At 51.1% G+C, this 26,344-nt stretch overlaps 1 long non-coding RNA gene across 1 annotated transcript in view; it reads right to left on the bottom strand.

The window, feature by feature from the left end:
- The window catches only part of LOC101927914 (uncharacterized), a 33,486-nt gene extending 21,391 nt beyond the window's left edge, over positions 1-12,095 (bottom strand). The window contains exons 1-2 of the long non-coding RNA NR_110157.1: positions 9,780-12,095; positions 7,227-7,457 (exon numbers count right to left, since the gene is read on the bottom strand). This is a non-coding gene — a long non-coding RNA (uncharacterized LOC101927914). The remainder of the gene's footprint in view (positions 1-7,226; positions 7,458-9,779) is intronic.
- Between the last annotated feature and the right edge of the window lie 14,249 nt (positions 12,096-26,344).

Raw genomic sequence — 26,344 nt, 5'->3', positions numbered from 1 at the left:
TTCAAAGTCCTTGAACAGGTATTTTCTTCATGTCGAACTGCCCCACAGAAAAGCTGTTAACTCCAATTCCTGATCATTTCTTCTTCAACCGCTCTCTGAAAGTGAAAGTGAGATTGCTCAAAATAACAAAAGTTATGCAGGAAAGAAACTAAGTTGTTCACCACCAGCAAATGCCTCAATGTCACGGCATCCCTGTTGTGAGGAAAACCAGTTAACTCGCAGTCTCTGGTCCCCGTGAGACGGTCCAGGCTTCACGGGGTGTGCGGAGCTCATGGCAGACGGCACAGGATGAGTGTGACTTGTGCCCCGAGGAGCACCCGTCAGGGGCGGTCCTGCAAGCCTCCTCTGCTCAGGTCCTGTGAAGGCACTGACGGAGCTGCCCCAAGTTTGCAGCGTCCCCAGAGGCCCAGCCTTTGCCACCCACTCCCACCAGGATGCAGCCCTGCCTCTCGCCAAGCTCCGCGTGGTCCACACTCCTGCCTCCCCTCCTTTCCCACACCTCTCTCCGAGGCTTTCTCGGCTGGGGACATGGGCAAGGGGAGAGAGCTGAGAGCTGAGCCTCTGGGAAACCCGGTGCCTGCCAGGGGCACATGAGTTGTGAATATGGCCCCAAGGCCATGTGGGGTGTCCCAGAATTAACAAAGGCTTCCCAGCCCCTCCAGCAGCTGGGTGTGGAGGACTCAGTTCTCCCAACAGGAACAGAAATGAACAAAATGTCAACAGGAGCCTTGCCGCTTTCAGTTCTGGGGGCTTTCCCCGAGGGGTAGTAGACTCCTGGCTTCTCCATCTTCTTCTTCCTCTCTCCAGCCTGCTGCTGGGACACAGGAGCCCTGTCCCACACTGTGAGCACAAGGCCACACCATGCCTTCTCCTCCACCCTCCGCATGTCTCGGCCCTTCTTTCTATTTGTTTGGAAAGGAGAGCTGCAGGGGCCATCCTGACAGGCTGGGATGTGTAGCCTCTGACCAGAAGCCAGAAACAGGCACGTCCAGGGAGGGGTAAAGGGAAGGGAACTGATGCTGAGCCAGTGGCTGAGTATACATTCTCAACACGCTATAGGAGGAGTCACCAATATTCACGAGAGGAGACATACGTATGTGCAAAACAGCTGCTTGCCCCTCATGGGTCCCATGTGCAAAAGTGGTGGTGTTATCACGGCCCGAGGGTGGAGTTTCCAGCCCTCTGAGGTCTAAAGGTGAAGCAGCAGACACAAAAACCCTCCCTGCGCATCCTCCGCAGCCTGTCCGGAACCAGCCTGTGGTCATCCGGAACCAGCCTGTGGTCATCCGGAACCAGCCTCTGGTCAGTGGTCTCTTACCAGGCAGGAAAGGAGGGGTGGCATCAGGCAGGTGGTTGGTGCCAGCGGTGGAGTCTTTTGGAGGAGCCAGTTTCTGTTAGGCCCCCAGGAAGAAATCCTAATGGGGTTATAACAAGGTGCTTCTGACCTCCTATCCTATCAAGGTCGAGAACTCAGATTTCAAAGTTAGCCTGGGCATCCCTGGCCTTCTTGCCCTGCGCTCTGCCCCCAAAGCCCAGGCCAAGGACAGCTTCGACCAGCTCCATGCCTGCTCACCTTTGGTTGAGTTTGGCTGAAGCAGAGCCTTGGGAGAAAAGAAGAGGAAGGGAGACAGAGGCCAGGTTGGAGAGGTCCTCTTGGGCTGGCCATGTCTTCAGCAGAAGACCTCTGATGCTCCCTCTCTCCCCCAGCCCACCGTGCAGGACGCTCCCTCTCTCCCCAGCCCACCGTGCAGGACGCTCCCTCTCTCCCCAGCCCACCGTGCAGGACACTCCCTCTCTCCCCAGCCCACTGTGCAGGACGCTGTCTCACTCTGACTTCCAGACACTTTCTCATCCTCTGTCCCCAGGATCCCGGCTCCTCCACTAGCTCTACTCCTTCTCAAATTCCACTGCCTTCAAGCTGCTCTCTATCCCTGCAGGCGCCTGACCAGTGCCCTAAGGGTGGTAGAGGGGGAGCGGGAGGGGCGTGGGTCAGAGGACACTAAGGCAAAGCCAGCACCCAAGCCTGGGCATCCACCTCCTGCCAGGCACTCAGTGGCTGGTGTGAGGAGCCATCAAATTAACCTTGGGCAAACCATTTTGTTTTGGGGGCTTCTGCTAGTCACAGCCAAATGTAATCCTAACAAACACCTTCAACAAGATGACAGTTTCTAAATTATGCCATCCTGTTTCTCATTCTCCAGGGTAACAGGCACTATACGGAGCCCGCGGATTCACAGTGACCAAAAAAATTACTTTCAGGTGTAAGATAAGCAATAAGTATAAAATGCTTCTGTATAACATGGCTGGTAGAAATGAGTCTCCTCTGAGCCCTGGAGACCTCCCTACCACGCTGCATTTCTCAACACTCTCTCTGTGGGTTCCAGAGACGTGGAGAAAACCAGGGGCCCTTGGCCTTGGCACCACAGTGGACCAAGCTGACAGGGAATCCCGATTTGCTAAAACCACCAAACATGCTGTCAACCCGAGCACACAGCCAACCACACGCTGCAAGGACCACCGTGCGAAAGGTGAAGCTCACAGCCGAGCCCAAATAGATGAGAAGAAAAGGGAAATGCTGAGATGTCAGAAACAAAGAACTTAAAACCTGGGCAGTGGCTGGGCGCAGTGGCTCACACTTGTAATCCCAACACTTTGGGAGGCCAAGGCAGGTGAATCACCTGAAGCCAGGAGTTTGAGACCAGCCTGGTCAACATGGCGAAACCCCGTCTCTACTAAAAATACAAAAAAATTAGCCGGGCGTGGCAGTGTGCACCTGTAATCCCAGCTACTAGGGAGGCTGAGGCAGGAGAACTGCCTGAACCTGGGATCCGCAGCTTGCAGTAAGCCGAGATTGCACCACTGCACTCCAGCCTGGGGAACAGGCTGAGACCCCGTCTCAATAAAACAAACAAACAAAACAAAACCCGGGCAGTGAGGGGGATTTTCAGTAAGAAGGAGTGAGCATACCCAGTCTCTCCCCACAGACACAGCCATCAGACTTCTGTGGAATGCATGGGTCTCTGGAAAACAAGGCACATGGATTCGGCAGGAAGACTAGATTTCTGAATAACCCCTGACTAGCAATGAGTTCACCATGTTTTTCCAACAAGCCCAGAACCCACCAATAGGTATTGGTGTGGAAGGAAGAGCTTCTGTCGTGGACAAGCACCAGGAGAGGGTCTGCCAACCCTCCGAGACTAGATGAGCCTCTTGCTTCAGTCACAGGAGCTGTCGTCCTAAGAAGGTGGTGCACACCCTACTGCTGTCTCTGCATCCTCCTGCCATGTGGCCTCAGACACCTGCAGGTGTGTGACAGGCACAACAGAGCTGACCAAGCTCCAGCTTTCTGGAAGGAGACTGAGAAGGGGAGGTCCAATGGGAAGAGCAGAGAGGCCTAGGACGTGCCCCAGTGAAGTTGCTTCTGAACGCCTGGGCCGCCCTGAGCTGCACGTGTGTGGGTCTGACCCTGAGCAACGTGCCACAAATGTAGAACTATGGAACAGACCCCACCCAGAGCTCAGACCGTCCACCAGGTGGCGCACACACGGAACTGACCCAGATAGCACTGCAAAGGCTTTTAAAAATGGAGCTGACTGCGCCGGACGAGGTCATCCCAGCACTTTGGGAGGCCAAGGTGGGCGGATCACGAGGTCAAGAGATTGAGACCATCCTGGCCAACATGGTGAAACCCCGTCTCTACTAAAAATACAAAAATTAGCTGGGCATGGTGGTGCGTGCCTGTAGTCCCAGCTACTCCAGAGGCTGAGGCAGGAGAATCGCTTGAAGCCAGGAGGTGAAGGTTGCAGTGAGACAAGAGATCTGTGCCACTTCGCCACTGCACTCCAGCCTGGACAACAGAGCGAGACTCCATCTCAAAAAAAAAAAAAAATGGAGCTGACTTTTAAACTACAACAACAGAAGGTTGGTTGGAACTTGTGTTCTGAACCCAGTTAGCTTGGTTGTAGAGTCAATTGGTTGCTAAATCAAAAATATTCACATTCTTCATAAGATAGAAACAAAACTCACACTTTTATAATATAATATTCAAAATGCCGAGCATATAATCCAAAATTATTTGCCATACAAAGACCTGGGAAACAGGAAAATCTCCATGTACATGGGAAAACAGACATCAGCCTTGAGATGGCGCAGATATTGGGATTCTCTGATAAAGACTTCCAAGCAGTTATTGCAAAAATATTCCAAGAAGTAGGAGTGAACACTTTTGAGAAATATGGAAATAAAAAGTCTCAGCAAAGAAATATGTGATATAAAGAAGAAAACAAATCAAAATTTTAGAACCAAAAAAATATGGTAACCAAAATTTTAAAACTCAGTGGATGGGTTCCCTAGCAAAATAAAGGTGACAGAGGAAAGATCTATGAACTTAAAGATCAGTAGAAAGTATTCAATTTGAATGACAAAGAAGAAAAGATTGAAGAAATAAATAAACAGAGCCTCAGAGACCTGTGGGACCATAGCAAATGTCCAAGATTTGTGTCACTGGAATCAAAGTAGGGGAGCGTGACAGTGAATTTTAGCTGTCAGTTTGGCTTGGCTGTGACACCCAGATATTTGGCCAAACATGCCTGAATTTTGCTGGGAAAGTATTTTTTAATGAGATTAACATTTAAGTGAACATATTTTGAGTAAAATAGATGACACTCCATAATGTGGGTGTGCTTCATTTAATTCGTTGAAGGCCTTAAGGAAAAGATTGCCCTCCCTCAAAGAAGGGGGAGTTCTGCCAGCTCTCAGCCTTCGAACGTGAACCAAGATGCCAGTTCTTTCCTGGGCCTGCCAGCCTCCTCTGCAGATTTGGACTTGCCAACCTCCACAGTGAAAAACAGTGCAATAAAGAAAACAATATTTGAAGAAATAACAGCAAAATCATTCCAAATCTGGCAAAAGACATAAACCCACAAATTCAAGAATCTGAGCAAACACCCCAAGCAAGATAAAACTAAAGAAATCTTTACGCAGCCAGACACATCATAATGAAGACTAAAACTTGAGGGCAAAGGAAAATTCTTTAAAGTAGTTTGAGAAAATGGAGACATTACTCTTTAGGTAACAACTATTCAAAAGACTGCAGATTTCTCCTCAGAAACAATGAAGTCCAGAAGGAAGTGGAACAACATTTTAAACTGCTAAATGTCAACCCAGAATTCTATCTCCAATGAAAAGAGCCTTCAGTAATGAAGTGAAATGACGATATTCTCAGCTGAAGGAAAAGAGTATTGTTTTCCAGCAGACTTCTTCTAAAAATATTGCTAAGGGAAGTTCTTCAGACAGAGGCAAAATGAAACCAGAAGAAAACACAGAGTGTCAGGAATGATAAAGGAGTAACAGAAATGGAAACTGCCTGGGTAAAAAGAATAGACCCCTCTTCCTCTCTTGCATGCTTTAAAACATGTTTCGCAATTTAAGCAAAAATGATGACATCATCACTGACGGTTTTGGTGAATGTGGATTTGGTCCAGAGACAACAGAGAGGGAGTCCCTCTTCTAGACCAGCAGCTGGGGGAGACTGACTCCCCAGTGAAACAAGCATAATTGGTGAAATTTATTTTTCAAACAAATTTTAAAGTTCCAGAATTTAAGGGCATACAGCTTGTGAAGAAACAGGCATTCCAGGAAATCATGAGAGCCCTGGCACTGAGCCCCGGCCTATGGCCTCACTCCCCTCTGCAGCCCAGTGTGATAGAAACCCTGCTCCCAGCCTAGAGGGCCAGCGCAGGCACAGGCTCCCTCTCCCCAGGCACGGGCTCCCTCCCTCTCCCCAGGCACGGGCTCCCTCTCCCCAGGCATGGGCTCCCTCTCCTGCAGAGGCTGCCATCTCCCAGGAAGGACGTTGCCAGCACTTCCCATCCCTCCCAGCCACGTGCTGCAGAGGTTCACAGATCCAGGCAAGTGCCTTTGAAGCATCCTGGAGAGACGGCAGAGGGACATTCCCCTGCTTTGCCCTCGGGGCAGCCTGGGAGCCTCTGCAACCCAGGTGAGAGGACAGACAAATTCAAGGCTTGCTTCCTCTCTCCTCAGTAAACTTTGTCCCTACAAATCAGCTGGTGCCCACAGCCTCTCCTCCTGGACTTTCCTCCCAGTTGCCACCAGGATATGTACAGTTTGTGCACGTCCTTGCTGGTGGAGACACAGAAGGTTGTAGCCACTCAGAGCCTCAAAGAGTGAACTCCAGTAGCACAAACACAGGGCAATTTTGGCTGTGAGAGAAATGTATTAGGCCTGTTTGCTCTTGAGAAAGACATGTCTAATCTCTCTGCTGCTTCTCAGACAGTCAACAGCAACCCAGCCCATCCTGGAAGTGGAAAAGTTCTGCCCAAAATGCTTGCTTGGCAGGAAATGCCTGGAGTTGTTGTTTTTGAGGGTTTTTTAATGTATAAAGCAAGTAGCATGGGAGATACCACAGAAGGCAGAAACAAAACAGGAAATTGAGAAGAGGGCCAAGCAATAGCATGAGCTTTGAGGTGCAGACAGCAGCCATCGCGGCAAGGCAAGGCCAGGACCTCAGAAGTGGTAGAGAGAGAGCCAGGCTTGAAAAGACAGAAGTCAGAGTGGACCTGCAGTTTGTCTGCAATAGAATGCACTCCTGTTGCCCCTCAGCAGTGGGGTCTCCCCAGTCCAGGGACGGATGCACTCCCTGGCTGCTCAGCCACCCTCCCAGCTGAAGCTCCTCCCACTCTGGATCCAAGTCCTGGCCCTGGAGCAATGGGGATGGAGGCGGCATCATCACCACACTCTGTGCTGCACCCTCAACAACCCTGCACCACTGACACACGGGCAGCCTCAGCCATGCGGGGGCTGGGGGCAGGGACACTCGGCTTGTTGAGAACAGCAGGTTCCTTCCCAACCAGGATGGGTGAGCACAGCGGGTTGGCAGCAGTTGCTTGAAGGAGCCACGTTAAAAGCTGACTGAATTGGAGCATCAGCTGTACCCACCCTCCTTCAACCACCTGGTCTAATTTTGGTCCTCCTGAAAAGGCTTGCAGGAAGATGGTTTAAAAACCCGGCTTCCCTCTGGTCTGAGGTTTGCAGTGCTTTCTGACGCTCTGCACGGCATCTGCCCTTTGCTTCCAGATCTGAGTTTGTGTTCTGCACAGCCAGAAGCAGTGAGAAGATTCCAGATCTGAGTTTGTGTTCTGCACAGCCAGAAGCAGTGAGAAGAGTACATGATTTCCCCAAGTAACAAACTGCATGTAAATACTCACACACAGGCACCAGCACAGCTCCGCAGCTTTGCCTGTAAAACGCTGGCTAACTCCCCACTGGCTGAGCAGCTCCACGGGCACGTCCAAGGCCCTGTGCCTCAATATCCGTCCCAGACCCCCGCTGCTCCGAGAGGCAGCAGGCTTTGGGCCGCTGCGTGTGAGCCCGTCCCCAGCGTCTGGCAGGGTACCTCAGGCGAGTGCCTTCTCCTCTCTGTGTTTTCATTTCCTCATCTGTTAAATGGAAATGGGATGTTGGATGTTGGGAGATTCAATAAAACACAGAAGTGTCAGGCCCAGCTCCCAGCACCTCAGCAACATGCCCCCCACAGACTCCCCGCTGGAGCGCCAGACACACAGACACACCCAACGCAGGCCAGCACCGGGCACACGGACACACCCAACCCAGGCCAGCGCCGGACACACAGACACACCCAATGCAGGCCAGCGCCGGACACACCCAACACAGGCCAACACCGGACACACGGACACACCCAACCCAGGCCAGCGCCGGACACACGGACACACCCAACCCAGGCCAGCGCCGGACACACGGACACACCCAACCCAGGCCAGCGCCGGACACACGGACACACCCAACCCAGGCCAGCGCCGGACACACGGACACACCCAACCCAGGCCAGCGCCGGACACATGGACACACCCAACCCAGGCCAGCGCCGGACACACGGACACACCCAACCCAGGCCAGCGCCGGACACACGGACACACCCAACGCAGGCCAGTGCCGGACACACGGACACACCCAATCCAGGCCAGCGCTGGACACACGGACACACCCAACCCAGGCCAGCGCCAGGGGCAGGTGTGTCCGGGGAGTGGCGCCAGCACCAGGTGTGGGTCTGTGCAGGGAGCAGACCCAGTGCCGGGCACAGATCTGTCCAGGGAGTGGAGCCAGGGCCAGTGTCCCCAGGAGAGCTGCGCGTGCATCCACGGGCACAGACGGCACTCAGCCAGGTCTTGCTGAGGGCGTGTGCCTGCAGCAGAGTCGCCTTGGGAATCAGAGTGTGCAAGTGACTGGCAGATGACAGTGTGAAGAGAGTGACCTGGGCCGAGAGAAGCCGGCGTGGGGGACCTGGGCTGGGCGCTGGGGGCCACTGTGGTGGCCGGCAGGTGGGCCTGGAGAGGGAAGCAGAGGCGGCCAGCACTAGAGGGGCCTGGGCGCCCACTCAGGAGTCCCGGGTTCACCCTGGAGTCAACACACAGGGGCCTTCCAGAGTTGACCCCACCCCGGGTGACTGCTGGGCTATGAACTGCACTGGCACACAAGGTGGAATTAGGCGCCGCCGGCCCCTTGCCCAGGAAACATTTCGACTTTGCGCTTCCCCTTTGCCTGGACACAGCTTCAACCTGAGCCCCTCCCATCCGCAGACCCTACACCCTGGAAGGAGCTGACAGCTCGGGGGGACACTGCGGACTGGCCAGCAGCCCCTTGCCCTTCCCCCAGGACAGCAAGTCCTTTCCAGACAAGCAGAGACCAGCGCCGACACCCGGCCTCATTCTTGCACCCTGGGGACCGGGAGAAGTGTAGACACAAACCCTCCGATGCCGGCATGTCCTTGGTCGGGGGTGGAGGGGGGACAGGCAGGCGGGGGCCGGGTCTGCACCCCCTACTCAGCACGTTAGCTCCGTGCCTTGTGGCTCCATCAGCAGCAGCGAGAACCTCTCAGGTCGGTGACCCTTCGTGGGGACCCCAAAAGCTGCCATGCTTGGTGCAGGGCGTCAGGGGATGGTAGGAACCTGGACAGCATCAGAGATTTCACCTCAGAGGGTCTCTCCCTGTGAACTGCCAACCAGGCTGAGGTGTGTGAGTGGCCAGGCCGAGGGTCCTGCCCCTGCTGCATTTGCCCCTCTCCTTCGATCAGAAATGCCAACAGGCGGTGAAGCTCCTGAAAGGTGGCAGCTGATGCTGCAGCGTCTGCGGTGACGTTTCTGGGACATCGGCAGCCCCTCCTTTGTTAAAAAAAAAAAAAAACCACTACCCTAGAAAGCCCCCAGGCTTCGCTGAGGTCACAGGAAAGACACAGTCACTCTTCCTGGAATCCAAGCACCAAAGCCCGTGTTCTTATGGAGCTGCGCCAAGCTGCCAGCTCAGTGGCGGCCCCTGGGTCATTTCTCTCCCTGCCCACCGGGGTTACCTCTGCAGAGCCTGAACTCGGGGTGAGTGAGGCCGGACTGCAGGAGGACCCCAAATCAAGGCCCAGGGGTCCCTGCACTGAGTGGTTTGACTCAGGCATCGTCCCCATCGTCCAAGTCCCCAGGTCACCCCATCCAGCCACCCCCCAACCGGTGTCCGAAAAGCCTCTCACCCATGGCAGCCCCTCCCCACTCCAGCACCAAAACCCTCACGGGCGTCTCCTGAGGGCCACCAGCAGGGCTGCCAGATCCAGTCCAGAAGCCCAGCTGACGGTGCACTTCCAGCCCACCCCCAGACAGCGTGGGTGTCTTGTGCTGTCCCCGAAGGGTGTCGGGTTAAACAGCTGTCCCCGTGTGAGAACGCGGGCAAACCAAAGGTGAGGGATGGTCCCCACTCACCAGGGGATCAGCTCCAGGGCGGACCTGCCTCTCCCGTGAAGGTGACGGTGGCATCCACACGCTGCCTGTTGAGGCACGAGCCCGCGGGGAACGACGAGGCAGGCTGGCCGGGCGGGCAGATGGGTCTGAGGTGTGGACCCAGGGGGTGTGAGGAGGCTGCTGAGCCTCGGAGACAACGTTCCAGGAGAAGCTGCGGAGAGACGTTCTCCACAGGGACCCCGGAAAACACTCCTGCTGCTGACACCTGCCCGGGCCGTCCCCGGCCTCACACGGGCCCAGAACAGAAGGGAGGTCGGAGCCCGGGTCTCAAACCCTCATTATTTTATTTCCAGTCAATCATGGACCAATGTTTTTGTCAAATGCAATCAAAGGCAGTTAGTTTTAAATGAACACAGACTTGGATGTTGCGGCTGGGCCAAACTCGCCCCAGTTTCTGTTCTGTCCCCCAGAGAAGCGGCCGCATGGGGCCACCTCCCACGCAAGGAGCAGCCGTGGGCGGCCCCAGGCGGGCTGATTCAGGGATCTTCCCCCTCTGGCTCCAGTAACACAGTCTGTGGACATGAGGTTTACACACTTCATTAGGGCTCCAAATTTGAGTATTATCTGAGTCTTTTTAAATTTTTGCAAAGCTAGTTATTTTTCCAGTCATTGGCAAGATTGTGTTACGTTGGCTTGAATGAAAACTTGCCTTGACTCAGGGAGAGAAGTTACAAGTGCGGTTAGTGTGGGCCTGAGTAACCCGCTTGCTCCCGTGCCCCCAGCCTTGGAGGTCCCCCGGGGCGCGGGCCCCATTCCTCACGTTGACCAGCTCTGCGGTCTCTGTCAGTCCACAGCGTCATGGACGTGTTTGTTACTGGGCTGGGAGTCAAAGCTGCCACACAGCGGCAAGTCTAGGTGCGCTGGGAGGAAGATTCTGCAAAGTACCCAAGTCAAGGTGCTTCCTGGCGTGGTCACCCATCGCCCGGCTCCCAGGAGCCCTTTGAACAAAGCAAACTTTCTTGCGCCCTCAGGGCTGCCTGCATTGAGGCCTTCCATGATTCCGCTTTGGTTCGGGTTAAGTGGAAAATAGGGGTCCCATTATGCAAAAACCAAAGCCTCCAACTACTCGGGCCTCACCCAGACACCACCCCCCTCAGCAGATACCAGAAGTCACTCATGACACCCACTTTACAGACCGATAACATGAGATGGGAGAAGGGGAGGCAATGGTGGTAAACACGTGCATAGCACTGGGTATGGCCAGACCACATTTTTCCACAGAGCACCACGTTCAATCTGCCAGCCACCCTATGGGTGGGGCACTGTTTCAATCACGCTGTATCCTTGCGTTAGTGGAAACAGTGTTGTCTTTGAGGACAGCGCAGGGTCTCCTCCAGCAGGTCCGATTTCCCGTGTTAAAGCAACTGGAATCCACGGGCAGTGAGAAACTCAAGAAGTTCAGGCAAATCGGACCAAGTCAATAGTCCTGTCTCCTCCTTAAAGCAGGCAGGGCAGCCTTGTGCCGCTGGGTGGCAGGACCTCCAGTGCCTGCAGCCAGGGGCCTCACAAACCGCCCCTTCTCACAAGTCCCGCTTGTTTCCTTGATGCGGAAGCAATCTGCTCAGCTCTGCAGGTACCTCCAGGTTCCCAGGGCTCAAAAGATCCCGGGAACAGCCTCTGGGTCATTGACAAACCATTTCAGCCTTTATGTGGATGTTTGCTTTCATACATTTAACCAAAAATGGCCCAAAATGCAGGTTACTCTGCAGCCAGCCAGCCGAAGTATCAGTATGAAACTTTCCTCTTCCAATCTCTGTCTCATCAGCTTGGCCAAAAACATCCCTGGCCATTTTGGCCACAGACAGAAACGGACACTGCCTTACAGGGCTGCCTCCATTGCTCCGCGTGGCTTCCCTCCGCTTCGTTCCACCTAGACCGAGCGAGCAGCGTGACACACCTTCTGAGCTCTCTCCCTCGGCAATTACTCCCCCGGTTAATGGATCTGACAAGCAGGCACTTACATAGAATTAATAATGCATTAATAATGGCTACGATCTGGCAAACCAAACAGGCTGTGTTTTAATAACAGAATCAATAGTTCCTCGAAGTGTTGCTTGTTTATTTTACCACGCATAGAAACAGAGGCACGCGTGGCTTTATTTCTATCTCAGCTGGGAGTGTGATCCTTCCACTCACAGACGGGCCGATTCCACGTCCCGGTCGCATTTTCCTTGGCTTTTCTTGTTTGTTTGTCCAATTGTTTTCAGTAAAAGAAATGATATAGCATAAAACATATTTCTTAAAACATCGTTTTCTTACATGCCTCGTCTGTATTCGATGTTCCAACATAGAACACTTTCACGTTAATCTAACACTTCGCATTGTCAGCCCGGCGCGCAATCATTCCGAGAGCTGCAGAATTCCCTGGTGAGCTCTGCGGCTGTGGTTTTTCCATTTTACAGCGGGGGAGGCCAAGGTTGTGTCGACACACACAGCAGAGAGAAAGAAACTGGCTAAATAACTCCAGAAAGGGAAAGTCACCCCGTGGCACCCGGCCTCAATTATCGGGGATTTTGCCTGCTTCGTCCAGTTAATTGTCTCCATCTTCGTCTCACTCTCTACAGGTAGACGCTGGCGGGAAAGCCGCTCCTCCAGGACTTTCCTTCTCTATTTTCTATCTGCTCAATTCAAAGACAAGTGCTATTTCCACTGACTGTTGTCTGTACATGACCCCGAATAGAAGCAGTGACCCATGGCTCTTCATTAAAATGGTCCTGAGACTAAAAACAAAACGTCCAAGGCATGCCCTCAATAAAAAGAAAGAAAGCGAGAATGAAACTGTAGACAGATACACAGTGTCCTGGAAGGAGTTTTAGTGGAGGATTCCACTCATCCATCACTTCGTGTCCTGCGTCTCTTTGAAATTCCTTGAGCTGACCCAGCTGCCGTTCAATAAACACTCCAGTGTGGGGGTGACAAATGTAATTTTCACCTAAACTGCGTTGCCGTCATTCTAATATAAAGGCTTGCCTCTTTGAAATACAGTTCTTTTCCGTCCCTTTCTTTCTGTCTTTGACTCACGTGGTTCCCTCTGTGGTGGTGGGAGGCAACTCTCAACGAGACAGAGGCAACAGCAGGTATTTTTCAGCCCCTCGCAGGCCGAGCTGGCGTCCTTCCAGAACCCCAGCTCCCTGTTTTCGTGCCCTCCGGGTCTCAAAGCCAGCATATTTTGCTTCATTGCATTGTAAAGTTAAAGCCGCTTGTGTCTGCATCTCACGGGGGTCCTGGGTGGCATCTCTGTGTTCCCACCAGCACTGTCGACGTTTCTCCCGTGAGAGGGGGAACCGTGAGGCAATGGGGATGCTGGGTGACAGGCACGAAGCTGGGAGCCTAAGGGACCAGTCGCTTAGGTAAGACTGCCGGGAAGGGGCCGCCTTCAGGCCCGCGCACACATGCCTGTTTCTCCTCTGTGCTGGCCCATGGGAACGACTGGATGCCTTCCTACCTTACAGTCCAACCAGGCTCTGAGCATGCCCACATGGCCGCACCTTGCACAGTTCCCAGACACCCCCACTCACACAGGAAGCACCTGCTCAGGTCACTCCCTGCCAAGGGTGGCCCAGCAAAGACGCCCTTCTGATTCCCACTGTCCGAGGACCTCTGCCACTGGGGAGCTGGACAGGGAGCCCAGCCCTGTCGCCTGTCACCTCTGTCCCCTCCATCTGGCGGTGGGGTGGCCCCAAGCCCACAAGGGCACTTAGTAAACATGAGGGCCCTCTCTGCTCACAGCCCACAAGGGCAGCCAATGGAAGAGGCCCACCTGTGCCTACTCTCAGAACGAAGGTATAAGTCACATTTGGGCAAACGTTTCTCTGCTCTGGGGTGGAGGCTGGAGTGGGAGGGAGAGGGAGAAGGGAGAGCACTCACACCTTTGCCAGCAGAGATCTGAGCCCTCCACGCTCCTGGCACTGCCAGCCCAGAGAAGTGCCTCACGTTTAGAAAATGTCACTTCTAGTGTTTATATCCCATTCTGTCTCTGATCACACACAAAAAAAATGTCCCCAAAGGTCACAAGGTCTGGTGAAAATCCTACAAGCTTTTCCAGAACAAACAACAGACCCTGACCCCGGCCCTCTCTTTGCATAAGAATCAACACCGGGCAGCGGTCACTGCAAGGGGCAGCCAGGACTACACAAATGCCAGCTTCGGATTTAAAACTGATTTTTTTTTCTTAAGAAACCAGAAGAAAAGGGGGACTTGGTGCTCATCTGCATTACAGATCAGGCCTCTCAGAGAAAATCGGACATCCATAATTCATTACATGTTTCCTGCAGGGGCTGGAGACAGCCCTGATCCTAGCAACAGTCATGGCAACGGTAGGAAGCCAATCCCAGGCCATCCCCTCCCGCTCAGCCAGTGGGGAGGGAAGGGAGGGACAGGGATAGGGTGGCTCTGGTTCTACACATGTGCACCAGGCTTCCCATGAACTGTGACATGGATGGGGTGGGGAAGAGGATGGGAGGATGGGGTGAGTGGGGACGGATGGGGATGTGGTGGGGGTGAGGATGGGGTGAGTGTGGACAGATGGGGGTGAGGATGGGGTGAGTGTGGACAGATGGGGGTGAGGATGGGGTGGGGATGGATGGGGGTGAGGATGGGGTGAGTGTGGACAGATGGGGGTGAGGATGGGGTGAGTGTGGACAGATGGGGGTGAGGATGGGGTGGGGACGGATGGGGGTGAGGATGGGGTGGGGACGGATGGGGATGAAGATGGGGTGAGGTGGGGACAGATGGGGTGAGGATGGGGTGGGGACGGATGGGGTGAGGATGGGGTGGGGACACATGAGGTGAGGTGGGGATAGATGGGATGAGGATGCGGTGAATGGGGATGGATGGAGATGAGGATGGGGGGAGGATGGATGGGGATGAAGATGGGGTGAGGTGGGGACAGATGGGGTGAGGATGGGGTGGGGGCGGATGGGGACGGGAATGGGGATTGTGAGGGGGATGGGATGAGGGTGAGGGGTGAGGATGGGGATGGGGGCGAGGTGGGAAAAAAAGAACATGGGCTCAGGCTTGAAGAGGTGAATTCGAACTGTGGTAAAATATTAGCCAAAGTGAGAGGCCAGTCCCAGTATTTATCACGAGCAGCGGGCGGTCACTGGCCTGGCATGCGCAAATGAACTAAGTGCCAGGTTACTACATTCAAATTATCATCTCTCACCAGCAAGTACTTTTTTTAACAAAAGTAGCATAACTTGGAACAATGTCCGCCTGCCGCACATCAGAGCAAGGTCTGTATCGGCACTCAAGGGACCGTTGTGTGAAAAAAAGCAGCTGATTTTAACCCCCACGGCTCGTCTTCCACACCACAACCTGGCTGTGGGCGTCTGCTGGGGGGTGTTCTCAACATGCCTCAGCTATCTGATGCCCTCACCACATCGAGAATCTGCCTCATTCTCACCATCTCATCCTGACCAGGTTTGCGAGCAGCGTGAGGACAATGTGCTCTCACTCCACGCTGCTGCCACAGAGGACACCCTGTCAGAGCCACGTAAACCCCACTAGAAGTCACAATGCTCAGCTGAGAGGCCCCAAGTCTTGCTTTTGAAACCCTGCGTTCATTTGGTCTCTGATGAAGCCTGCTCAGTAACTGTCTCATCTCTAACTTCCTCTTGACAGCTGGAGCTGAACCTGCACCACACGGTCTATGCCAGTTCTACAGAAAGCAAAAAGGGTCTTGTTTCAGACACCACCACCATGAGTGAGGTGTGCACCCACCACCACCAACAACCCTCTGATCCACAGAAGTTTCCAGGCACCAACTCTGCCTGTCGTTGAACTTGGCTGTTGGAGTCTTGCGGCTCTGAACCTCTAACGCAGACACCCCACTCTTTCCTCCTTTAGCCTGCAGGTGTTAAGACGAGTTCTTGTCTGCAGTGGTCAGGGCACCGCAGTCTCCATGCCAAGCAGATTTCCAAACATGCCGTCTCGGCCGCCACAGCGTCAATAAACAGCTGCAGGGACGGGGCCTGTGCCAGGGCTTTGCAGAGAATCTCGCGCGAACCTTCTCGTTCATCTTCCGGGGAAATGAGGAGCTCGCGGGTCTGCGCAGTGCTGAGGGCAGCCCAGGCCGAAACGAGCTGGGTGCTGGATGGCAGCGTCCAGCCTCGCCCCAGACCCCGTGTCCCACTGTCATGCCTATGTGGCTCAGGGGGCAAAAATGAGAACATTTCTTATGGACACTCCAAACTATATTTTGGGGGCAGCTGCCCTATTTTGAACTTTACTGAATACATTAGCAAGCACCTGGGCAAGCTGCCAAGGAGGAAGAGGAAAAGGCAAGCATCCTGGTCCTCTCTGTGTCCCACCCACACCCTCCCCAGCCAGCGGGCTCACCTGTGTCCTACCCACACCCTCCCCAGCCAGCGGGCTCACCTGTGTCCTACCCACACCCTCCCCAGCCAGCGGGCTCACCTGTGTCCCGCCCACACCCTCCGCAGCCAGCGGGCTCACCTGTGTCCCACCCACACCCTCCTCAGCCAGCGGGCTCACCTGTGTCCCGCCCACACCCTCCTCAGCCAGCGGGCTCACCTGGCCAGGATGGTGCTTTCTAAACCTTCCTCAAAGTAAGTTCATGAGAGATGATCCCCTTTCTGCTATTCATACTAATGGTTCTTCTTGTATTACTGGGAAAAAATTATCTCAGCCCTGAGACATTGGTGCAATTTTTTGTCTTTGTTTGAAATGGACCATTTCCCTTAAAGTCAAATGAAAATGTCACTCTTGACAATAATTTAGATTTTAAAACCACTCTTAGGTTTCTGCAGGGATTAAATGGACTCCTCAAAGCTCACTGTGCTTTATCAAACACACACACAGAGAGAGAGAGAGAGAGAGAGAGAGGGAGAGGGAGAGAGAGAGAGAGAGAGAGAGGGAGAGAGGGAGAGAGGGAGAGAGAGAGAGAGAGAGGGAGAGAGGGAGGGAGAGAGAGACAGAGAGAGAGAGACAGAGAGAGAGAGAGAGAGACAGAGAGAGACAGAGAGAGAGACAGAGAGAGAGACAGAGAGAGAGAGAGACAGAGAGAGAGAGAGAGACAGAGAGAGAGAGACAGAGAGAGAGACAGAGAGACAGAGAGACACAGAGAGAGAGACAGAGAGAGAGACAGAGAGAGAGACAGAGAGAGACAGAGAGAGAGACAGAGAGAGACAGAGAGAGAGAGACAGAGAGAGAGAGACAGAGAGAGAGAGACAGAGAGACAGAGAGAGACAGAGAGAGAGAGACAGAGAGAGAGAGAGAGAGACAATCATGAATCCACCCAAACAGCAGCCTTGCGGTGGAAATACAAGAAGCTACAGGAGCGCCAGTAAATTGAGAAAGTAACTATCTGTTTTCCCTGCAATTAGCCACAAAGGAAGAAGATTTTGTACATGAGACCTATGACCTTTTGCTAAAATAATCTAACAATCTCTGAGATCCATGTGGCTGCAATGACATGTCGTCTCGCAGGGTTGAGGTGGCCGTACCGGCTTCATTCCCTTGCCTGGATCCACCTGGCATCCTCTGAGGAAAAGCGCCCATCCTGTCTGGAGCCATTGTGATCACAAAACTCAAGTCAGTGCATGTCTTTTCCTCTCATATTGATAAAAGTTTATAGTAGGAGTCAAAAGATATCTGCTATTTTTGGCCGGGCGCGGGGGCTCAGCCTGGAATCCCAGCGCTGTGAAAGGCCGAGGCAGATGCATCACTTGAGGTCAGGAGTTCAAGACTAGCCTGGCCAACATGGTGAAACCCTGCCTCTACCAAAAATACAAAAAGTTGTCAGGCATGGTGGTGCGTGCCTGTAATCCCACCTACTGTGAGGCTGAGGCAGGAGAATCGCTTGAACCCGAGAGGCGGAGGTTGCAGTGAGCCGAGATTGCACTTCAGCCTGGGCGACAGAGCGAGACTCCATCTCAAAAAACAAACAAAAAAAAATTTGCTCTTTTAAACAACTTTGCAGATTTCTTTATCCTTTATGTGTTCCCTTTAAAAAAAAAAAAAAAAAACTGAAAATCAAGCAAGCAGGAACATAATCCCAGCCACCTGCCAACATCAGACTTGCCAGAGTAAAGGAATGCCCACACGCGGGGCCACACGGCACGGATGGAGCACCTCAGCGTTAGAGGTGGTGGCCACAGCTCCACGGCCACAGTGCTTCTAACTGCTCAAGTCGCCACTGGGCCTTCCACAAAGGGGAGAGAGATCGGGAAGCTACAGGAGAGTTTATGCAGACACAGCTGCTGCCCCACTTGTCTTCCCCACCATCATCTGCGGTCACCCCACAGGCCTCCCTGAAGCCTGTCCCAGGCTGCGGCCCACACCTGGTAGCCTCCATTCTGAGAGGCACTGTGTGGAGTTCCATTTGGGTCCTATCGGTGGACTTTTCGTGACCATGGCAGGGGCTCATGGCAAAGTCAGCCTTCCTGGACCCTCCGCCCAAACCCAGCTTCCAGTCCACCAGGGCCGGCCCACCGCCACTGTGCCTGCAACCAAAAGCCCCAGAGAGAGGCCGGTCACCAATTTCCATATATCCAGTCTATACCTGGGTCTGTTCTCACGCATGCACACACACACTGGTCTACACGCACAGACACAAATACACACATAGACACATGAGCATGAGGGTTTGTTTCTCTACTGACTTTTTTTTTTTTTTTTTTTTTGAGATGGAGTCTCACTCTGTCCCCCAGGCTGGAGTGCAGTGACATGATCTCAGCTCACTGCAACCTCCACCTCCCAAGGTTCAAGCGATTCTCCTGCCTCAGCCTCCCAGTAGGTGGGATTACAGACGCCTGCCACCGTGCCCAGCTAATTTTTGTATTTTTAGTAGAGACAAGGTTTCACCATGCTGGCCAGGCTGGTCTCGAACTCCTGACCTCAAGTGATCTGCCTGCCTCAGCCTCCCAAAGTGCTAGGATTACAGGCATGAGCCACCGCGCCTGGCTTCTCTACCGACTTTCTAGTGCCCAAAGATTCTCCAGCCTCATGGGCCAAAGACCGGACCAACGGAGCCTGTGCTCAGCACCTTCTGTCAGCGGATCATAAAAGAGCCTCATATTGTCCAAACGTGTTTATATAAGATGTAGCCAGGTTCAGAAGCGTTTTCCATGTCAACTTTTAACAATGGAGAAGAACAAGATACATTGTAGTGTCCCCAAACAATGGAAAGCTCTGTAGCTATTTAAATGATGTTCTTGAAAAGGGTTTAATGATGTGAAAAATGTCCATGACACATACCATTAAGTGGAAAGGCAGGATGCAAAACTGTACCTAGGAGCATTCTACTTTTGTTTTTAATGAAATACATACATACACAAAACATGCTAATTAATCAAAGGATGGGAAAAATACTCTAAAGCATTTACAATAATTAACGCTAGGGAATAAGGCTCTCATCTTTTTAAAACTTTTTTGTAACTGTATTTTGCAACTTTTCTTAAATGAGCATTCGTGCTATCAGGGGGAAATGCGCAGTTAGAAAGAGCTGGAATTCAGCTACTTGGGAGGCTGAGGCAGGAGAATCGCTTAAACCCGGAAGGCGGAGGTTGCAGTGAGCTGAGATCACACCGTTGCACTCCAGCCTGGACGACAAGAGTGAGACTCCGTCTCAAAAAAAAAAAAGAGGTGGAATTCAGGAAGGTCACCTCCATCAGAAAGTTCTGAAGGTTAGCACCTGTCGGCAGGAGCCCATGTGGAAGATTCTCAGTGGACGGGGCAGTTTTCAGAGGAAACAGAGCCTGCCACATGGTCAGCAGGTCCACAGAGGCCGCATTGCCATAGAGGGACCCGCACTGCTCCAGGCAGAGGCTGAGGGGCCTAAGTGGCTGGCATGTGCCTCAGTGTCCACATTGGTCTCACCAAAGTGCTGCAAAGCCTTCCCACCTCCTTTTTAAGGATACACAGTCCTTGGGAATTGTCACCGTTGAGGAAGAGGTTGGGGTGCTGCCTTCCCAACACTAGGGGAAAGGAGGGAGTCCCCATCACAACCGTCCTGTGCCCCCACAGCGGGGATGGGGAGCGGCTGCCTGGTGCCTCTCAGAGGGGCCTAGTGACACTGGGGCTGCCCCTGAGCTCAAGGAAGTGACCCTTGGTGGCCTCTGCCTCTGTGAGGCCGAAGGCGTGACCATCCATCCGATGCTGACCTCTCTCCCTAAAAGGCACAAAGAGATCAACCATCCTTAACGGTCCCTGGTTCTTCCTCCTCCTCTCTCCCACCGCTCTCCTCCTTTCTCTGGCTCCCCAGTTCAAAGCTGCTGCTGGAAGAACAGGAGAAAACCTCTGTCACTTCAGGACAGATGACCCCACAAGTCTCTCCCTCAAAGACAGACACACGGCCTTGTGCCTGGAAACCGTTCACAGGGCAGCGACCCCCTGCACACAAAAGGGGAGCAGATCTTTGGTTCTCTCCAGCAGAAGGAAGCTGAGAAAGTGACCCTTAACCTTGGCTCTGTAGGGGGCGAAGGTTCAAGAGAGGTCAAGAAGAATGGCCCTGCAGCCTCGGGGCTGGGAACGCGGACAGTCAGGGAGGGCCGTCAATTGGGGTTTCAGTCCTGGCTGAAGGGCAAGGTTTTCCACCCTCACCCTCCAGGCAGAAACCTCACACCAGACACAAAACCGCCAAGCTGCACTGAAGCAAGAACGAGCCTCAAACTCCCTGACCTAGAAATCTGAAAGAAGAGTGGGAAGAAATTAAATAAAAAAATCAGGGACGAGGCTTGGAGTCAGAGCACCCGCTGGAGAGGCTTAATCAAGACTCCCAGCCGGGAACTGCGATGGTTTTGATTAAGAACAAATTGCCGGAGTGAGTCGAACGGGGTCCTTGAGCCTCGTCCTTTCTGAAGGGACATGATTGTCCTCCCGGCAGCTCAGGCATGAGCAAGGGCAGACAGCAGGGTGGCAGATGCGAGGCAGCAGGAGAAAGGGGCATGGCCACCGCCCCCGCTTTGGAGTCTATGTTTTCATAAGAGCTGCCCGGCCTCCCACCCCCAAGCCCTCAGAACAAGGCATGCAGCACCAGTGGCCTGAAGGAGCTGAGTCCCGGGGCCACAGTCAGATGGACCAGGGCAGAACCTCTGGCCTGCCAGCCGCCAGCTGTGAGACGTTTGGGCAGCCCGCATATCCTCAGCAAGCCTCAGTTTCCTCATCTGAAAAATGAAGGCAGTGAAAGCCCCTGCTGCATAGGTTTCTGTGAAGATCAAGGGTGAATTATTAATAATGGAAAAGCAGGAAGGAAAAAGCCCCCGCAGAAACTGCAGACGTAATTTCAGTTTGGAGACGTCTCCGATAGCTGGGGAATAAACAGGGTTCCCTGCAGCTCAGAACGTGCAGAGGAGATCTGTGGAGTCCGGGTGGAGAGGCAGGGGACTCATTCACTCACTAACTGATGAATTCATGAATGTGAGGTGAAATGTAGCCACCCACAGTGGTCAAAGTTTTAATATTTTGGTCTAAATGCACGTTCAAAGCCTTTGGAGAAGGCAGAAACAATATGCAAATGGAATCTTAAAGCCAAAAAGTTGGTACAATAGGACTGGTCATCTAGTAACTCCAGTACTAGAAAATTTCACGTGGACTGCCAGCAAAATTCTAGAGCACTTCATTAAAATGATAGATTGGGAGGTTGTTTTGTTTTGTTCAGATAGTTGGCATTTTGTGAGGCCAGTATTACTCTGATACCAAAACCAGACAAAGACATCACAAGAAAACTAGACCAATATCTCTTAAGAATATGGACACAAAAATCCTCAACAAAATATTGGCAAACCAAATCCAGCAACATATAAAAAGAATTATAAATGAAAAACGTGGGTTTTATCCCAAAAATGCAAGGTCGTTTTAGCATCCAAAAATAATTTAAGGTAGTACATCTTATAAATCGAATAAAAAACAAAAATGACATGATCATCTCAGTACACGCAGAAAAAACATTTGACAAAATCCAACACCCTTTCATGATAACAACACTGAAAAAATGAAAATAGAAGTGAACTTCCTCAACCTGATAAGGAACATATACAAAAAGAAACGCAGCTAGCTTCCTACTTAATGATGAAGGACTGAAAACATCCCCCAAAGATCAGGAGCAAGCCAGGCATGTCTGCCGTCATCACTGCTATTGAATATTTTACTGGTTCTGACCAGAGAGATTTGGCAAGAAAAAGAAATAAAGGCCATTCAAATTGGAAAGGAAAGCCGGGCATGGTGGCTCACGCCTGTAATCCCAGCACTGTGGGAGGCCAAGGGAGGCAGATTACCTGAGGTCAGGACTTTGAGACCAGCCTGGCCAACACGGCAAAACCCCATCTCTACTAAAAATACAAAAACTAGCCAGGTGTGGTGGTGGGTACCTGTAATCCCACCTACTTAGGAGGCTGAGGGAGGAGAATCACTTGAACCTGGAAGGCAGAAGTTGCGGTGAGCCAAGATCACGCCACTGCACTCCAGCCTGGGTGACAGAGCCAGACTCCATCTAAGAAAAAAAAAAAAATTGGAAAGGAAAATTTGCAAACGACATAATCTTGTACACAGAAAATCCTAAGAAATCCACTAAAAAAAACTGTTAAAATTAACAACTAAGCTTATTAAGATAGCATAATATAAGATCAATATACAAAAATCAGTTTATTTCTATACACCTGCAATGGGTGATCCAAAAATTAAATTAAGAAAACAATTCCATTCACAATAACATCAAAAATAAAATACTTTTGAATAAACTTAACAAAAGAGAGTAAAATTTATACTCTGAAAACTAAAAAACATTATTAAAAGAAATTAAAGAAGATCTCAATAAATGGAAAGACATCCCACGTTCATGGATTGAAAGACTTGACATTGCCACAACAGCAGTCCTCCCCAAACTGATCTGCCGATTCAATGCACTCACTATCAGAATCCCAACTGATGTCTCTGTGGAAATTAAGAAGCTGATTCTGGAAGTCACACAGAATTGCAAGAAGCCCAGAATAGCCAAGACAATCTTGGAAAAGGAGAACAGAGCTGGAAGACTCACATTCTCTGATTCCAAGTCTTACTAAAAAGCAACAGTAATCAAAATAGTGTGGTACTTTCTTCATTATGGGATAGAATTGACAGTCTGGAAATAAACCCTCACATCTATGGTCAACTGATTTCCAACAAGGGTGCTGTGACCATTCAATAGGGAAAGGGCAGTCTTGCAACAAATGGTGCTGGGACAGCTGGAGAGCCACCTGTGAAAAAATAAAATAAAATTGAACCCTTACCTCACACTATATATAAAAATTAGCAAAAATGAATGAAAGACCTAAATGTAAGATCTAAAACTATAAAATTCTTAGAAGACAACATAAGGATAAATTTTCATGACCTTAGATTTGACAAAGAATTATTTGATATGGCCAGGTATGGTGGCTCACGCCTGTAATCCCAGCACTTTGAAGGGCCAAGGTGGGCAGATCACCTGAGGTCAGGAGTTCAAGACCAGCCTGGCCAACATAGTGAAACCCTGTCTCTACTAAAAATACAAAAATTAGCCGGGTGTGGTGGCATGCACCTGTAGTCTTAGCTACTTGGAAGGCTGAGGCAGGAGAATCACTTGAACCCAGGAGGCAGAGGTTGCAGTGAGCCGAGACCATACCATTGCACTCCAGCCTGGGTAACAAAGTGAGACTCTGTCTCAAAAAAAAAAAAAAGAATTCTTTGATATGACCCCAAAATTATAAGAAACACAAAAGAAAAAATAAATGCACTTCATCAAAATGTAAAACATTCATGCTTCAAAGGACACCATCAAGAAAGTGAAAAGACAATCTACAGAATAGGAAAAAATGTTTTCAAATCATGTATCTGAAAAGGGTGTCTAGAATATACAAAGAATTCTTACAACTCAATAGCAAGAAGAGAAATAACCCAATTTTAAAGTGGGCTAAGTATCTGAATAGATATTTCTCCAAGGAAGATATACAGATGGCCAATAAACATGTTAAAAGATGTTAAACAGGGGTGGAGCCAAGATGGCCGAATAGCAACAGCTCCAGTCTACAGCTCCCAGCGTAAGCGAGGCAGAAGACGGGTGATTTCTGCATTTCCAACTGAGATACCGGGTTCATCTCACTGGGGAGTGCCAGACAGTGGGTGCAGTGCACCGTGTGTGAGCCAAAGCAGGATGAGGCATCGCCTCACCCAGGAAGCGCAAGGGTCAGGGAATTCCCTTTCCTAGTCAAAAAAAGCGGTGACAGACGGCACCTGGAAAATCGGGTCACTCCCACCCTAATACTACACTTTCCAACGGGCTTATCAAACAGCACACCAGGAGATTATATCCTGCACCTGGCTGAGAGGGTCCTACGCCCATGGAGCCTTGCTCATTGCTAGCACAGCAGTCTGAGATCAAACTGCAAGGCGGCAGCAAGGCTGGGGGAGGGGCGCCCGCCATTGCTCAGCCTTGAATAGTTAAACAAAGTGGCTGGGAAGCTCGAACTGGGTGGAGCCCACCACAGCTCAAGGAGGCCTGCCTGCCTCTGTAGGCTCCACCTCTGGGGGCAGGGCACAGACAAACAAAAGACAGCAATAACCTCTGCAGACTTAAATGTCCCTGTCTGACAGCTTTGAAGAGAGTAGTGGTTCTCCCAGCATGCAGCTTGAGATCTGAGAACAGGCAGTCCGCCTCCTCAAGTGGGTCCCTGACTCCCGAGTAGCCTAACTAGGAGGCACCCCCAAGTAGGGGCGGACTGACACCTCACACGGCCGGGTACTCCTCTGAGACAAAAATTCCAGAAGAACGATCAGGCAGCAGCATTTGCAGTTCACCAATATCCGCTGTTCTGCAGCCACCACTGCTGATACCCAGGCAAACAGGGTCTGGAGTGGACCTCCAGTAAACTCCAACAGACCTGCAGCTGAGGGTCCTGATTGTTAGAAGGAAAACTAACAAACAGAAAGGACATCCACACCAAAAACCCATCTGTACGTCACCATCATCAAAGACCAAAGGTAGATAAAACCACAAAGATGGGCAAAAAACAGAGCAGAAAAACCGGAAACTCTAAAAATCAGAGTGCCTCTCCTCCTCCAAAGGAACGCAGCTCCTCACCAGCAACAGAACAAAGCTGGATGGAGAATGATTTCACGAGTTGAGAGAGGAAGGCTTCAGAAGATCAAACTACTCTGAATTAAAGGAGGAAGTTAGAACCAATGGCAAAGAAGTTAAAAACTTTGAAAAAAAATTAAGACGAATGGATAACTAGAATAACCAATGCAGAGAAGTCCTTAAAGGACCTGATGGAGCTGAAAACCATGGCACGAGAACTCTGTGACGAATCCACAAGCCTCAGTAGCCGATGCGATCAACTGGAAGAAAGGGTATCAGCGATGGAAGACAAAATGAATGAAATGAAGTATGAAGAGAAGTTTAGAGAAAAAAGAATAAAAAGAAACGAACAAAGCCTCCAAGAAATATGGGACTATGTGAAAAGACAAAATCTACATCTAATTGGTGTACCTGAAAGTGACGGGGAGAATGGAAACAAGTTGGAAAACACTCTTCAGGATATTATCCAGGAGAACTTCCCCAATCTAGCAGGGCAGGCCAACATTCAAATTCAGGAAATACAGAGAATGCCACAAAGATACTCCTCAAGAAGAGCAACTCCAAGACACATAATTGTCAGATTCACCAAAGTTGAAATGAAGGGAATAATGTTAAGGGCAGCCAGAGAGAAAGGTCGGGTTACCCACAAAGGGAAGCCCATCAGACTAACAGCTGATCTCTCAGCAGAAACTCTACAAGCCAGAAGAGAGTGGGGGCCAATATTCAACATTCTTAAAGAAAAGAATTTTCAACCCAGAATTTCATATCCAGCCAAACTAAGCTTCATAAGTGAAGGAGAAATAAAATACTTTACAGACAAGCAAATGCTGAGAGATTTTGTCACCACCAGGCCTGCCCTAAAAGAGCTCCTGAAGGGAGCACTAAACATGGAAAGGAACAACCGGTACCAGCCACTGCAAAAACATGCCAAATTGTAAAGACCATCAAGGCTAGGAAGAAACTGCATCAACTAACAAGCAAAATAACCAGCTAACATCATAATGACAGGATCAAATTCACACATAACAATACTAACCTTAAATGTAAATGGGCTAAATGCTCCAATTAAAAGGCACAGACTGGCAAATTGGGTAAAGAGTCAAGACCCATCAGTGTGCTGTATTCAGGAAACCCATCTTACATGCAGAGACACACATAGGCTCAAAACAAATGGATGGAAGAAGATCTACCAAGCAAATGGAAAACAAAAAAAGGCAGGGGTTGCAATCCTAGTCTCGGATAAAACAGACTTTAAACCAACAAAGATCAAAAGAGACAAAGAAGGCCATTACATAATGGTAAAGGGATCAATTCAACAAGAAGAACTAACTATCCTAAATATATATGCACCCAATACAGGAGCATCCAGATTCATAAAGCAAGTCCTTAGTGACCTACAAAGAGACTTAGACTCCCAAACAATAATAATGGGAGACTTTAACACCCCACTGTCAACATTAGACAGATCAATGAG

The sequence above is a fragment of the Homo sapiens genome, chromosome 7, assembly GCF_000001405.40.
Source record: "Homo sapiens chromosome 7, GRCh38.p14 Primary Assembly".
In the NCBI taxonomy this organism is placed as follows: domain Eukaryota; kingdom Metazoa; phylum Chordata; class Mammalia; order Primates; family Hominidae; genus Homo; species Homo sapiens.
This window is presented reverse-complemented; position numbering and strand designations above follow the sequence as displayed.